Here is a 16,119-nt window from a genome sequence, read left to right on the forward strand (position 1 = left end):
TCATATAGAAAATTTAATAATCAAAATTTTATATTAACCTTTTGCATTTTTAAAACAGAATTTACTTTTTAAGCACTTTATTTCATTATACCATTTATTTGCCCATTAGGAATGTAAAAATAACATGTACAGGATTCATAAAATAATGTTTTCTGAAAATTGATACATAAAAAGTATATGTTAAAATTCTAAAATCAAATTAATAAATAATCAAGATGTTAAACTTACCTTTTTGTTGGCAACAAAATGTATTCTCAAGTTTACAAAGCAAATCCACGTTTTCATACTTATTTTCATTTACTTTTATCCAGAAACAGTTTTCAGTCATTTCATGAGGTCTGATCTACAATCAGAGAGAAGACTGATTCATCAATAGGTGAGTGTTTCACCTGTCCCAAGTCAAGCACTATGCATACACTGAGTATCATAGCTGTCAGCAGATATTTATAAAGTCGTATCTGTAAGATTTTTCCCTGAAGTGTGTTCAATAAGATACAAGTTCTGCAGGATGTTAAGGTCTTATTAGGAAGAAAAGGCTTCCATGATCCAATAGTTGAGGATTTGAAATACGATTTAATTAGCTTCTTCTCAATTGCATTTCTCATAGTCTCTAATAATCTTCACCTGCACTATACATTTTGGTGGGCAGGACACATTATACAGCATTTTCCATGTTTCTGTTACCATGAAACCATTTTTCTGCAGGATTCTGAATTCTTAAGATCTGACTAGATATTAGCTTCTGACAACTAGTTAACACTTTCCCAACATCTATCAATAGAGAAAATTTCCTAAGAACACCATCATTTTTTTTTGAGAAACACTTCATAAACATAGGATTCACTGCAATAATGTTTAATTATCAATTTAATTACAAATCGGATTCCACTGGAACAACATCAACTCTCACTGTATTTATAAAGCAGAAAGTCTTAGTCAATATGAAAGGGATTTGTCCCAATACTTTAAAAAAAAAGCTATTTTATTGTCACTTTGATTAGTGACATTAGAAATTATGTATATATAAATTAAATTATGTAGGCATAAATTAAATCTCATTAGAAATTATGTATATATAAATCCAAAATTAGATTTAGATCTAAGTAAAAGTATTTTCCTCTATTAATTTCTTTTACCTTTAACCAATTCAATCTTCTCATGCTGATTTCAGGTTTAAATTCTTTCTTTGGTTTCAACCCAAATGGCAGGATTGGTAGAGGAGGAGAATTTTGTCCTCCAAGGAATCCCAGGGGAGGTGGTGGAGGCACAGGACCACTGAATGGCATCCGCATTCCTGGAAGTGGAGGAGGTGGTGGGGGAGGAGGTGGAGGCGGCACCCCTCCACCAGAAGGCAGTGGAGGCGGAGGAGGAAGTGCTGAGTGGCCAGTTCCACCTTCTTTAGAGGGAGGCAAAGGAATATTACAATCAGCTGGCAAGGCACCAAACTGGAGAAAAAAACAATAAGAGACATAACTAAGAACATATCTACAAAACATGTAAATATGCACTTTACTCAAAAATAAGGCATTCATTTAAACCAAAAATAATTACATATCAGTAATTTCATAAGGTTTAACCAAAAATCAAAATTCCAACAATTTTTCTTCTAATTTAAGAATATAATTATAGCTTTTTTTCCCTCATAAAAACATAATTGCCAGAAGTATAATTCCCTGTTTTGAGGTAGTTATGACCATCTAGGTAGAAATGTCCAGGAGGGAAATGGGTATGTGGATCTAGAAGATTTGAAAATCAGTAGTCTCTGGAGAACAGTTGAAGCCAGGGAAGCAGAGAAGTTCACTCATAGTATGGAGAGAATATGTAGCATGACAAAGGGTCTATGCACAGAGTTCTATGGAGTGCAAGCATTTAAGTGATAAGTAAGAAATAAGATTTCAACAAAAGAACTTAAATGGTATTGCCACATCATGACTTTGCTCAAATCTTCTCAATGGTGTCCTAATGCACTTGAGAAAACAACAACAACAACAAACTAAAATTCTTCGTAGGACCTATATAAGTATATCATGATCTAGTCCCTGCTATCTGGTCTTGTAGGGGACTTTCTTCTAATTCTGTGTATGTGCCAACCTCATGCTAATTTCAGGGCCCTTGTACATGCTGGTCCCTCTGCCTGGAACATTCTCTTCACCTGACCATCTCCTACTAGCCTCTTCAGTCTGAGCTAACAGGTCCCTTCCTTGGGAAAGCCTTATCTGACCACTCATTTTACACTGATAGCACCTTGTACTTTTCAATAGCTCTTATCAAAAGTGAGAATTTATTTAAGGAATCATTAGCATTTATCTCTTTGACAGATCATAAGCTGATGAGGTAAGTGACTATCTTGTATTATTTACTGCTCTTTCCCCAGCACCTAAAGCAGTGACTGGTGCATGACAGCTATGGAAGAAATGCGTAGGATAAATGCATGAAAGACAAGAAGAGAAAAAGCCAACTGGGCACAGGGTCAAAAACTATGAATGAAGAGAGCACCACCTAAAAGACTGCTTTGCAGAATCAAATGCCACAGAGAAGCAAGGTAAAATCAGGGGTGAAAAAAGAACCGCCTGTGTCCACTGGTCACTTTTGTCCTCATGTTTCCATGGCATAATAAGAATTTAACAGATGCATTTCGATGGATACAAAGAAGACATTCTGGGTTAATAAATAACTTTTGTAATATGAGTAGCTTCTTGAAATTACAAACTTCAATTCTAACTACCTTTAACATTTAATAAATGTTACATAATTTTGAATTTTCATGGCACAATTATGAAAAATAGACCATGTATAAAAGCTCGAAATCAATGACGTCTGAAATCATGACAAAGAAAACAGTGTTATAAAAGAAGTTGAGGCCACAAATCAAAAGCATGCCTTATCAAAACCATTAAGTATAAAGAAGAACCAGTTCAGTGTTACTCTGGGTTGCTGTGATCAAAGATGATACTTCCTTTTGAACGTATTTAATAATTAACTATCAATGTCTTAAAGATATGGCTGAATTTCTGCTCTAGAATAGTTCATTTGATAAAGTGTGAAGACTGACTTAAAGATATGGTTTGGGAGGCCAGACACTGTGACTATCTTGCTCATCACTATGTCTCTCCAGCACCTAAACTACCTGGTTGTGAAGAGACTACGGGAGCAAAGGAATTAAATCACAGATAACAGAACATATTTTATTCATACTCTTCATAGTCAGCATAGCTTTGAACAAAAAGAAGGATCTTAAGATAAATGCCCACATTTCATAAGAAATAAACCAGAATCCAAAGAAAGAATTTGCCAGTTGTTCAAACATGAATATGGTGGCCAATATTAAGTATCTAATTCTAGGTTTTCTTCTCATAGCCATAAACATGGGTCATCACTGTATACAATTTAAAACAATTTAGGAGATTCCTTGATTTAATTTCACTTTCAAAACATACACTTATTCCCATTTTATGTAAAAGCACTATGCAGCAATAACTTATTCAAAAATGGTGGATACGTTTTTTATAAACTGGAATTTTCTGGAGATTTACAAACAAACCTTCAACTGAACATAATTAAAAAGAAAAGAAAGTTCTTAAATTTACGTTACCCCAGACCAAGAAAAACTTGTTATAAATATTTCAGCCACTGTCTGTAACTCAGTCTGAAGTACAGACACAATCAAATGTTTCTTTCAATATGAGAGACAAGGAACCATATGGGAAAGATAAAAAAAAAAATTCAATAAAATGTGATACTTCCCTCTTGCAGCACTAAAGAAAGAAGATGAATGAGAATAATTTTCTTGTAGATAGGAGATTTTAATTTTTTTCTAAAATTGAATACTAACAGATAGCTATCTCTTAAGGTATCTCCAGACAGCCTCAGCAACAAAACTATCCACTAAGCATTTAAAAGAAAACAAAATTGCCAGTAAGATAGGATATAGTATACCTGAGACTATTTCAACATAACTGTAAATTAAGATGAAAGGAAAATAGCAAAACTATACTTATTGCTCATCATCCTGTACGTAAATCTACATGAAGAAATTTAGCTATGAATATTCTACCTCCTTACTTACATCCACATAAAGCATGCAGATGACGTATTTCTTGCTATCTAAATGTTTTATGTGTAGAGGGTGCATGGGAGCTATCTGCTTCATAATCCAGATTTACTCTCTTTTTTGTCATGTTTTAAATCTGTTTACTTTGGAAATTGAAAAATTATCAGAAAATGTTCTCATTCAGCTAGAGGTTATCTTTTACTGCAAGGGACCCCTAGGCTGAAGGTTTTAAAAAATAAATAGCTTGAGCAATAATTTCTTGTAGTGGGATAAAGATCAGTGATGAATAACAAATCTGAGAGTAAAAGATTTTCTTACTCTTTATGCTGAATTACTTAGGAAACATGTGACATTAGGAACAAAACCCTAACAAAACATAAGAAAGCAGATTAATTAGTAAAAGCTTAGATATACATACATATAGAAAAAAATGACAAAAAAATAGCAAAACACAGTACAAATAATGCTATAAAAATATACAAGCAAAATTAAAGTTTAAACATTTTGATGCTATGAAGATATAACATAACCTTTGCTCCCTCACTGTGTTTTTAATACCCAAATTCACTCAGAGTGGAATTTTACCTGAGACTTAAAAGCTTGTAGCTCTGCTTGAAGCTCATTAATCTTTGCCTCTTTTTTCTGCAATTCAGCCTGAGTTTCTTGGTGGTCGGTAAACTCTTTTTCAAACTGAAACAAATTAAAAATAATAACAAAAACAGGAAGATGAAAATGAAAAGCACTATTCTTCTTATAGAAATGTGACTCGAATGATCTGCCGGTAGAACACAAATTCCTGAATTGGTTTTATGAAAGGAGTGATAGAGTTTTGAAAAGTCACTTACAGTCTTTCTCTAGGCCCCTCCAGGTCCCAACCAAAATCGTTCATTCACAAGGGGGCAGAAAAAAGCCATAGACAAGTCTGTGACCTTCTCTCTGCAGAGCAAACTGGCCACAGTTATCTGCAGCATTGGCATTTTTCTTCAAAGTCTCTAAATATTATTGTGACTTTGTGTAAAATAATAGAGAGCAAAGCATTGTACAAATTCCTTGCATCTTCCACCTGCAAAAACTTATTCTTGAAACTTATCTGAAGTATATCAACATGATTTAGAGGATTTCATTTTAATATTTTTTATTACTAAACAACTCCATTCTATTCAGTTTCTAACTTTTTTTCTTGTAACAACATAATATCTCCTGATATCTTTGGGAAAGTAATGATAAATTAATTTTTCAAAGTCCCTAGTGAAATACCTTCTGGAAAAAAAAGGAAACAATAAAATTTGGTGAATCCAGTGAATTTTCTATAATAATTTATATATCCACTCATCACCAGTTCTCATCTTGCATTCAAACACATTCAACTTTGCCATTATTATGACTAAAAACCTCCTTTTTGCTCACAAACACAAGCATTTGACTTTCTTAAGAAAAATGAAAAAAAAAATCAATCAAAAAAATGCAACTATCTCACAAATGTGGCCTCCACATTTTAAATACACTCAAACCTTAATTAGGAAAATAACAACAATGTAGAACTCCACCGTTTACAAAGGGATTTTATTTTTACTTAGTTTATAAAGGGAATCTTACTTTGTCCTTAATAACACTAAGAGGCAGTTGCTAGTCCCTCATAGCTAGTAAAAGATGTGAGATTAAAAAGCCAGATTCCCCGCCTTCAGAGTCTAAGTTCAAATGAAACTATGCCACCTCCCTGCAATTAACGTTTAGATAATGCTTTACGGTTTTACTTAACAGACTATTTTTTGGAGCAGTTTTAGGTTCACGGCAAAACTGAGCAGAAAATAGAGATTTTCCACATACCCCCAACCCTACACATGCATTCTCTCTCCCCATACTTTATAGCTTTTGAAGCATAAAAAGAAGCATTCTTAAATTTCATTACAAAAACTCTGTGAAATAAGAAATACTGCTTTAATTCCCATTTTACAGGGAAGGAAGGTAAATTTCAGACTACTGATTCTCTCAGTCTCAACCTGTGTTCCTTTATTAAAATAACAAAAACTAATAGGTAAAAACTGTCCAAATGTCCTTCAGTTGACGTAAGCCACAGCAACACTACCATTCCCCACAACTACTACGGCTCCTACAAACCCCTCTTACCGTTAAATAATTAAAAAGATTCTAAGCCTATATCTAATCAAATTACTAACTACAAAACAAGCCATGCATGAGTCTCAGAGGTCCGCCCACCTTCTCCTGTCACCCAGTGCTTCCCCCTAAGGACTTGCTAAATCAATTGCCTTCACACCTCCCTTGCATAGTTTACCTCTCTGTACTTTCATCCCTCATTTTACTCCTTATAACCCCTTACCATAATCCCTCTTTAGCTTAAAAGTCAACTTTTTCAAAGGGTATTCTTAAACCACACTCACTTTTCTGACCTGTTGAACTCTGTTCATTTCATTATCTATCACACTTAGCTATAATTCATTCTAAAAACGCTGACTTACCAAATTCCAATTCCAGAAGTCCAAATTCCCTGGACTGCTCTCAGCCTCATCTTAGGTGATCTCTCTAGGGCCATGCTATTTCAATATCATAGCCACTGACCACAAATGATTATGTAAATGTAAACTTAAATTATCAAAAATAAATAAAGTTTAAAAATTCAGTTCCTCGGTCACACCAGCCATTTTAAAAAGTACACTATGGGCACATATGGCTGATGACTACCATGCAGAACAATATAGATTATAAAACATTTCCACCATCCCATATTAGACAGGCCAGTTCTATAGCATAAATACCTACAAATAGGCCTCCATATTCAACCTCTTTTCCTGTATGTTCCATTACAACACACACTTCTGGTTCTCCTGCTACTCCTTGAGTGCTCCTACCAATTCCTGTTATGGGTTTCTACAAAATCCAACCCACTAATGATGGCATTCTATAGGACTCTTTCCTCACCCTCCTCCTGCTTGTCTCATCTTCCACAGCCATGTTTAAATCACCATGCATACACTGATGGCTTACAAATCCCTATCAACATCTCAGCTTCTCATCTGAATTCCAGACTACAAATCAGTCCATGAATATATTTCCAACCACTTAATGAAAACTTTTCAAGACAGACGAAAAAACATATTTTCAAAACCAAACATGTTTCCCCCTACAAGATTTGTTTTTTGAATGTTGCTATTCTTTGTAAAGGGCAGCTCAACTAACATGACTTCTTTGTTCTTAAACTATCAGTGACTTCATTATAATCATTACTATCTAAGAACCCTGTAGGATCTGGCCCTAATCTACCTATTTCCCATTACGCAATAAATATTTAACAACACACCCGAGATATGCCCCCTCAGAGTGGTAGGTTCTGAAGACACAGTTAAACAGAATATGGTCAGTGTACTTTTAGTCAGCACAGTGGCTGATGGAGAAGTAAAAGCAAACTAACAACCCTAAATCAATTAAAAATACCAGCAATAAAGAGAGAGACAGAGAGAGACTGAAAGCTGGGGAATGATTCCTGGAGGAATGATGTTTGACCTCAAAGTCTGAAAAACTTACTAGCATTTCAGCGTGTGGATGAATGACAAGCAATACTTTGTAAGGGGCACAAAAAGAGGTATGAGAACAAACTGAAGGGGATAAAGCCAGAGATGAACACAGAAATAAAACTGCTGAAAGGAATTTTGCAATAAGCCAAAGAGTTAATCCTCTTTTCCTAAAAATCCTGGAGCATTATTAGGTATGTATAATAAGTAAACAACATAATCAAATTTTTACTTTCAAAAACTCAACCAGCAGCAGTGTGAAAGATGGGCTGAAAAAGACATACTAGAGGCATGGAAATTGGTTTGGAGGCTATTGTAGTTATCCAAGCGAGAACTGAAGGCCTTCCTGAATTGAGGTGGAGGAGAGGGTAATGACAAAGAAATGAAAAAAGACTACAGAATCCAAAAATGTTAGTATCTGACCGAATGAAGGAAATGAGCGAGAGGAGTGTATCTAAGATGACTACAGGGTTTTGTTGTTTTACAAGCTAGAAAAAAAGTGTTGTTATTTGGGGAAAATAAATAAGGTTATAAAATGCAGGGGGAAAAGATATTTTTAGGGAGAAGAAAGATAAATTTGGTTTGGATATGCTCAGCTTGAGATAGGTATAGGAAATTCAAAAGAAATTTAGATATGCATCCTTCTTGGCTATCTCGCGTTGTTCTTCATACTGATTCCTCAAGGCTCAGATTAGACATCACTTCCTTGGAGAAGGCTTCCCTGGCCACCCATGACTAGGTGAGGGACCTTTCCTCTAGGTTTACATACCACATAGGGTTTGTCTACCATACCAATTGCACACTGTAATATAAAATTGTCAAAATAACACTCACCAACCTGAAAGCTCATAAATGTGAGAAACTTTTCTATTTTATTCATCACCTTTCCAGTGTCTTACATCTATAATTAAAGTCAAATAAATATTTGTTGAACGAAGTGATGAGCCAACCTCGTCAAATCTTCCTTTATATGTTGAATGACTATGTCAACATAGTCACTCTCCCAGCATCAGAAATCTTTGAGAGGTCATTTTCTCTTTTTGACAACTAAGACAAAGTTCACTGTTACACAGCAAGAAAAAAAATTACGTTCTTATGAGAGTAAGAATGAAAAAGCCTTTCTACAATATCAATATGTGAATTATGAAATATCTATTTCATAAATCCTAGACTAAAATTCATAAGGAAAAAGAATTATTTCGGGACTTAAGATAAAAATTATAAAAACAACCACAGTCATAATGAGTACATTCTAAGAACATTTATTAAATTAACTTGCTAATACTAAAGTAACTGTATTACTTATGAAAAAATAAGTTTCCACATCCTCGCCTATAAAAAGATAGCTGAAATATAAACTTTGTTTTAGCATTTTTGTAATATCTATAGTCAAATCACTGTAGCCTTGGGGAAAAAATGAATCTCCATTAAAAGCACACCTTATAAAAACTGATATGATAGCCTTCTCCAAAAAGAGTTACTAGAGCGATATTACACTTACAAAATTACATGCAAAAAAATGTTGAAAGACACAGTTAAGGTTGAGGCTCTGCTTAATTTCATTCTCTAGGGTGAATGTATTAGTGCATCTGTACAAGAAGGTTGATAATTCAATATTCTCTATATACTTTCTGACATTTCTGGTCTTCATTTTTCAAATTTATGCACCAAAATAAAGAATGTGTCTAGCAACCATGATAGCTTCCTGCCTAAAGCAAAGTATTTACATGTGTCCTTATAAAACTATCAGAACAAAGTTTTTGCTGATATATACAAAATGATATGGCAATAGAAATATTTTATGGAGCAAATAGTATTTTCTGAATCTAACTAACACATATAATTTCTGACTAAAAGGAGACAAGTAACCTTGAACAAGGTCTTTCTTCTATTTATATATTTAAAACCTACAATTTGTTTAAAAATCTGTTGAGAAACTTTAACTCCATTCATGTTTGACTCCATTCATATATACTATATACCTAAAAATGATAACAAAATCAAATTTATACTATCTGGGATGTATCCAAATCAAGTACTTGAAAGTCTACTACTACTTTCCTATGAAGAGTTAAAGTGCTTATCCAGCTTAGAATACAATGTTGGCTGGGGGAAGGGTCACCCCACAACATGAACATCTATCCACTGTAACACTATGAGACTAAATTTAAATGATCCATTAATTTGTTTCCCCCACTAAACTAAGTCACTTCAGAGCAACAACAATATTATATTCACAACTGTAATCCTAACCTGCAGCCGAAGGCGTGGGAAATAACAACCTCTCATTTAGCGTTTGGTAAAGTCAGAACCTTAAGGCCCCTTAGGACATTTATAATGTTTTACCTAAGTTACTCTTAACTTACAAAACAGTGCCTATAATTTGTAAGTTATGTTTTATCTTCAAAGCTATAGAAATGTGCAACTGCCTCAAGATACATTTAGTATCTGCTACATCAAAAACCTATACTCCTTGGCATGATGCCTAACACACAGGAAATATTCACTTCGTAAATGTTTGCTGTGGGTTCATCATGGTGACAACAGTAGTAAGAATTATCGTCACTCCTTCAATGTGAAAAACCACCTGAATAATTCAAATCAGATTGACTATTTAAAATGCAAAGAATTGGAATAACAAATTAAAAGTCTAATAGGTACTTGCTAAGCCAGAGATAAAAGGACAAAACAATACCTTAAATTTATGCCTACTGTTCCATTATTGGAACGCTGAGCATGTGGAAGTTATTTATATCCTACTGCTTAAGGTCACTGCCAATGTCTGATTTTTCAAAACTCAAAAAAATTGCAATCTCAGGCATAAATGGGTTAAAGAAAAGTAAGGAATTGGCTGGATGGTTAGAAATACTACTGAGTTGAAACAAAACTGGTTTTGTTTGTGTAATATCCAACAGCTATGACCTATGAAAATGGCAATTTTATAAAGTTCAACTTAATATAATGAAGCAACTTTAATCAAAACTAAAAGCAAGTTAACTTTTCTCTTAAAATTTTTATATATGATTTCATTCTTAAGGGCTTAATATCATTTCTTGAGAATTACCACAACCTTAAAATTTTGATTACATACATTTTGCTCCATCATCCACTCATTCAAAAAGGATCTTTTTAGTTCTTACAAAGGGCCAGGAATTGTTCCTGGTGCAGGGATAGTGAATAAAACAAACAAAATGCCTCAAAGTTTACTGTTAGGGTGAAATAGATAAGTCATTCACATATAAATACATAAACTATGTAGCATGTGAGATGATGATAAATACATTCAAAGAAAAATAAGGAAAGAAGAATAGGGAAGGTCAAGGTTGGGAGTGGGGAGTTAAGACTTTTTAGATACAGTAGTCCTCCTTGGTGGAGGGCATCTATGCACACACCTGAAGCAGATAAAGAAGAAAGAACGAATAACAAGCAAATTCCCTGAGGCAGAAGCATGCCTGCAGTGGTTCCCCACAGAATACTATAAAGTTAGTGAAAACTACTTACTTTCTTGTAAAGTTCTGATGCTTTCTCTTCAAACTCTTCTAGTTTTGCTTGATCTATGCAAATGTCTAAAATTGCAATGACAGGAAATTTTTAATGTGAAACTTCTTAAACTCATTATGACTTCAAAAGTTTAGAAAGAAAAAAGATCATAGAAAATAATTAAATACTGATACTACCAGTAATAAACAAAATGGAAAAAATATTATAATGTTGGAATGAAAAAGGCTTTTCTAAGCATGATACCAGAAAACAGAAAACACAGGAAAAGCCAAACTCAATAACAATTTTAAACTTCTAGCAGGCAAAAGGAGATGTTCAATTGTAATAACACTCAAATGTTTCTATCACCAACTCGTACATATTTTAAAGAAAAAAGATGATGTCTATAAACAAGCTTAAAAAAAACAGCCAACAGTAATAAACAGAAAATTAGAAAAATTGATACTAAAAAATCACCAAAACAGATGAATAAATGTTTATTATTCCCTAACAATATGAAAATTAGCAATATGAATGTGAAGATTAAATGACTGATAATGCCAAGTGTTGGAGTTGACATGAGGAAACCAATAGTGAAAGCTAAGAACTTTGCTGATGAAAAACTAGGCAATATATACTAAAATTGTAAATATGGATTTTCTTTTAACCTAGCAATTCCATTTCTGAGACTTGGCCATTAGGCCTGAAAACTCATTAAAATATTTTTTGATGTTAGACAAAAAAAAAAAAAACTGAAAATAACTTAAATGCCCATCAATAATGAACTGCTTAAATAAGTTATGATATATATACATGATAGAATACAATGTAGAAGTAATTCATATGGATTTCCCATATGTTATCCCTTCTTTTTTATTAAATGAAAGCGATACATGAACAAAGTTTATAAAAATATATTACAGAAGAATTTATAATAAAAAATAAGTCAACAAAGTTACTGTATCCAAATCTTAATCACACTTCCTAAATGCAACCTCTTATTACCATTTCTATACTAGATTATTTTGGTGGTTAGTTTCTTAACTGTAAATAAAATGTACATAAGTATTATTTCTTGATTTATCTATTTAAGACATTATAGATAACTTTCTATTATAAAAGATTAAGACAGTATTTGTTCTCTAATCCTAATTTTTGATATTTTATTTACTAAACTGGATTGCTCCAGAGCATGAAATATTTAATTTTGATTCCCATTACATTAAGAATAACTTAAAATTCTTGCCACAGTATGTCAAATTATCTGTGCCTCATGCTTTCCAATACCTTTTCTCCCCTATTGCCCACCTTTGGTTCTTCTCTCACCTATTCATAGAAATACAATGACATTCTCTTCTGTATTTAAATCTTTTGTATTTACTTATGAGATTATTCTAAATATTTAAAAATCAGTAAATACAATTAATTTATTAAAACTACATAAGCACGCATCACTTATACAACCAAATGGTGTTCAAATATTTTATTTCCTTCTCAAGAGCTCAGTGAAAAAAACCTCTCAGCTGCCATTCCTAAATGACCCAGTGGAATACATTTTTTCAGATACTATTCAAAATCATTCCACATTTTAGTTTGCTGCATATTTACAGCACCATTTTCTTAATTTCTGCTTCCTCTTCCCACTCCCCCCACCCCAGGAACTTCTAATTGCTTATCTCTTATAGAGAGAAACAAGCATTTTCATTAATATTATCTAGTTCTTCACTAATTATATTTCATTCTTCTCCCAGGACTCAGATAATATACGAAAAGAAACATAACCCTGCACAGATACATAGCTGAAAATGAGAGGTGTATTTTAATAGCCTTTTCAAATCATTGTGGGTAATCTTCTTTGATGTTATATCGAAATCTGACAAATGGTGACTTCTTAAACAGTAGTTACAATGTGGAATCACATATCATATCAATTAACTTGTACTCTGTTACCCTAAAATCTCTTGATAAATGTTGCACTTTTAATAGATCTTTTGCCTATGCAGAATTTGTAATATCAGGCACTGGTCATATGGAAAGAATGGTGTGCTGAGTCATGCAAATGTTCCGAACGTTAACAGGTCTTTATACAATATCACAATGAATAATCAGATAGGTTAATAACACCAGTGACATCAGGAAATAATTTTAGTATTGAGAACCTGTCAGCCTAAAAGCAGCAGATACAAGTTTTCCAAAATTCAAATTTCCACTTAAAAACTCAAATTTTCTCATTGGCAGCCTATTTATCGGCCATTTTCTTTGAAGTTATAGGCTCACTTTATTTCATTTTTAAGAAAGCAAGTGCCTGACGAAAACTTTAATAAAAACTCAAATGTTACAACACTAAATAATAATGCTTTATCTTTAAAAAAAAAAAAAAAAAAAACTCTCAAGTTATAGAAGCCATCGTCTGTATGAGTCATTCCAAGTTTAAAAAAAAAAAAAAAAAGGCTTCGGGGGGGACAGGCAATTCTGCTTGCAACTCAATTACACAAATATTTTCTTATTGAACTCTTTTAATAGATCTTTGCCTATGGAGAATTTGTAACATCAGGCACTGGTCATATGCAGCAGAAGTACTGTATGTATAAATCCCATTTGTTAACACAGAATATTAAAACAGTGTGTATACAAGGGTCAGGCTTTAATAAAGTTAACATTTTTAGGACCTTATCAAAGGCATTCTTAAGTAAAAAATGGCAGTTTTTGTTGTTTTATTGACAGTAAAGATGATAATGACTACTCCCACAGTTTAGTGCCACTGCCTTGATTCATAACAAAGTGCCAGGAGTTTTACTCACCATTGTTCTGCACCACCAGTGCAAAATACCAACCCAATAAAAAAGGCGAATAATGTTTTTGTGCTATTATGAAAACAGTTTTGACAATTAGGGCCCTCAGGAGTCCAGAGACACAACCCGAGAACCAATGCCCTAGAGCTCATTCATAGAATAAGAGACAATAAGATATTTCTATTTAAATAATAAATACTCACCTACAAACTGGGTTAAATCTAAATCTAGTCTTTTTCGATATGTGAAGTCTGGATCCATTCCATCTCTATGCAATACAATCTGGGATACACACTCATCAATTAATTTGAAGTATTGTTGCCTAAAACCAAAGAAAAGAGTAAATGTACAATTGATAATTAGTGTAACTTTACATCAAAACAAAACTTTTTGGCTAAGATTGATTTCAAGTTCAACAATTTATTAGTAATATAATTTCAATAGTTGACACAACAGATTTTACCTGGGAGTGAGAGTAAATACAATTGTCATCACTTTGCTTTTAATGAATTCAAAACATCATTTTTATAGTCTTTTAGGAAATACAGTATCCCTTAATTTTCTTATAAAAGTCAAAACCTTGAATTAAGTAAATTAGCTGAAAGTGAAGTGATAAGTGCTTAAAATTTGTGCTCAGAGGTCATCAACTTTCCACTGTACCACACTGAAATAGCTATCATTAATTCACTTCATTAATACAACCAAAATAAACAAAAATTTTCTCTAAAAAGTTTTATGGGAGTATGTGGTATACTGTTTTCCAAGTGTTTGTGAAATCAAATTTAAAACTGGTACTGTAAGTTATATATAATATCAAATTCATATTTCTTACTCAAAGGGAAATAGAAAAATTCAGTATAATAATATTTGTCCAAAAATCGAAGTTTAACTAAAACCTCCAAGTAGATTTCATGTTGTCATTACAGTTAAGTCTAGTCCATCTACACTGGTCATAGGTGAAACATCCCTTAAGATTTTGAAAGGATCAACAAAATTGATAGATCGCTAGCAAGACTAATAAAGAAAAAAAGAGAGAAGAATCAAATAGACACAATAAAAAATGATAAAGGGGATATCACCACTGATCCCACAGAAATACAAACTACCATCAGAGAATACTACAAACACCTCTACGCAAATAAACTAGAAAATCTAGAAGAAATGGATACATTCCTCGACACATACACTCTCCCAAGACTAAACCAGGAAGAAGTTCAATCTCTGAATAGACCAATAACAGGAGCTGAAATTGGGGCAATAATCAATAGTTTACCAACCAAAAAGAGTCCAGGACCAGATGGATTCACAGCCGAATTCTACCAGAGGTACAAGGAGGAACTGGTACCATTCCTTCTGAAACTATTCCAATCAATAGAAAAAGAGGGAACCCTCCCTAACTCATTTTATGAGGCCAGCATCATTCTGATACCAAAGCCGGGCAGAGACACAACCAAAAAAGAGAATTTTAGACCAATATCCTTGATGAACATTGATGCAAAACTCCTCAATAAAATACTGGCAAACCGAATCCAGCAGCACATCAAAAAGCTTATCCACCATGATCAAGTGGGCTTCATCCCTGGGATGCAAGGCTGGCTCAATATACGCAAATCAATAAATGTAATCCAGCATATAAACAGAGCCAAAGACAAAAACCACATGATTATCTCAATAGATGCAGAAAAAGCCTTTGACAAAATTCAACAACCCTTCATGCTAAAAACTCTCAATAAATTAGGTATTGATGGGACGTATTTCAAAATAATAAGAGCTATCTATGACAAACCCACAGCCAATATCATACTGAATGGGCAAAAACTGGAAGCATTCCCTTTGAAAACTGGCACAAGACAGGGATGCCCTCTCTCACCGCTCCTATTCAACATAGTATTGGAAGTTCTGGCCAGGGCAATCAGGCAGGAGAAGGAAATAAAGGGTATTCAATTAGGAAAAGAGGAAGTCAAATTGTCCCTGTGTGCAGACGACATGATTGTTTATCTAGAAAACCCCATCGTCTCAGCCCAAAATCTCCTTAAGCTGATAAGCAACTTCAGCAAAGTCTCAGGATACAAAATCAATGTACAAAAATCACAAGCATTCTTATACACCAGCAACAGACAAACAGAGAGCCAAATCATGAGTGAACTCCCATTCACAATTGCTTCAAAAAGAATAAAATACCTAGGAATCCAACTTACAAGGGATGTGAAGGACCTCTTCAAGGAGAACTACAAACCACTGCTCAAGGAAATAAAAGAGGATACAAACA

General features: G+C 33.5%; 1 protein-coding gene across 19 annotated transcripts in view; it reads right to left on the minus strand.

Annotated features, from left to right (window-relative positions):
• Nucleotides 1–16,119, minus strand: part of DIAPH3 (diaphanous related formin 3) — a 498,346-nt gene that overhangs the window by 304,133 nt on the left and 178,094 nt on the right. For all 19 annotated transcript variants that reach the window (XR_002957478.1, XR_002957480.1, XR_941672.1 and 16 more), the window contains 5 exons: nucleotides 14,054–14,172; nucleotides 11,080–11,144; nucleotides 4,637–4,741; nucleotides 1,137–1,445; nucleotides 229–343 (listed from right to left, as the gene is read on the minus strand). Coding sequence is in view for 14 of the 19 variants with exons in the window: in NM_001258368.2 (NP_001245297.1) it covers nucleotides 229–343; nucleotides 1,137–1,445; nucleotides 4,637–4,741; nucleotides 11,080–11,144; nucleotides 14,054–14,172 (713 nt within the window). In the remaining 5 variants the exon portion in view is untranslated. The remainder of the gene's footprint in view (nucleotides 1–228; nucleotides 344–1,136; nucleotides 1,446–4,636; nucleotides 4,742–11,079; nucleotides 11,145–14,053; nucleotides 14,173–16,119) is intronic.

The sequence above is a fragment of the Homo sapiens genome, chromosome 13, assembly GCF_000001405.40.
Source record: "Homo sapiens chromosome 13, GRCh38.p14 Primary Assembly".
In the NCBI taxonomy this organism is placed as follows: Eukaryota; Metazoa; Chordata; class Mammalia; order Primates; family Hominidae; genus Homo; species Homo sapiens.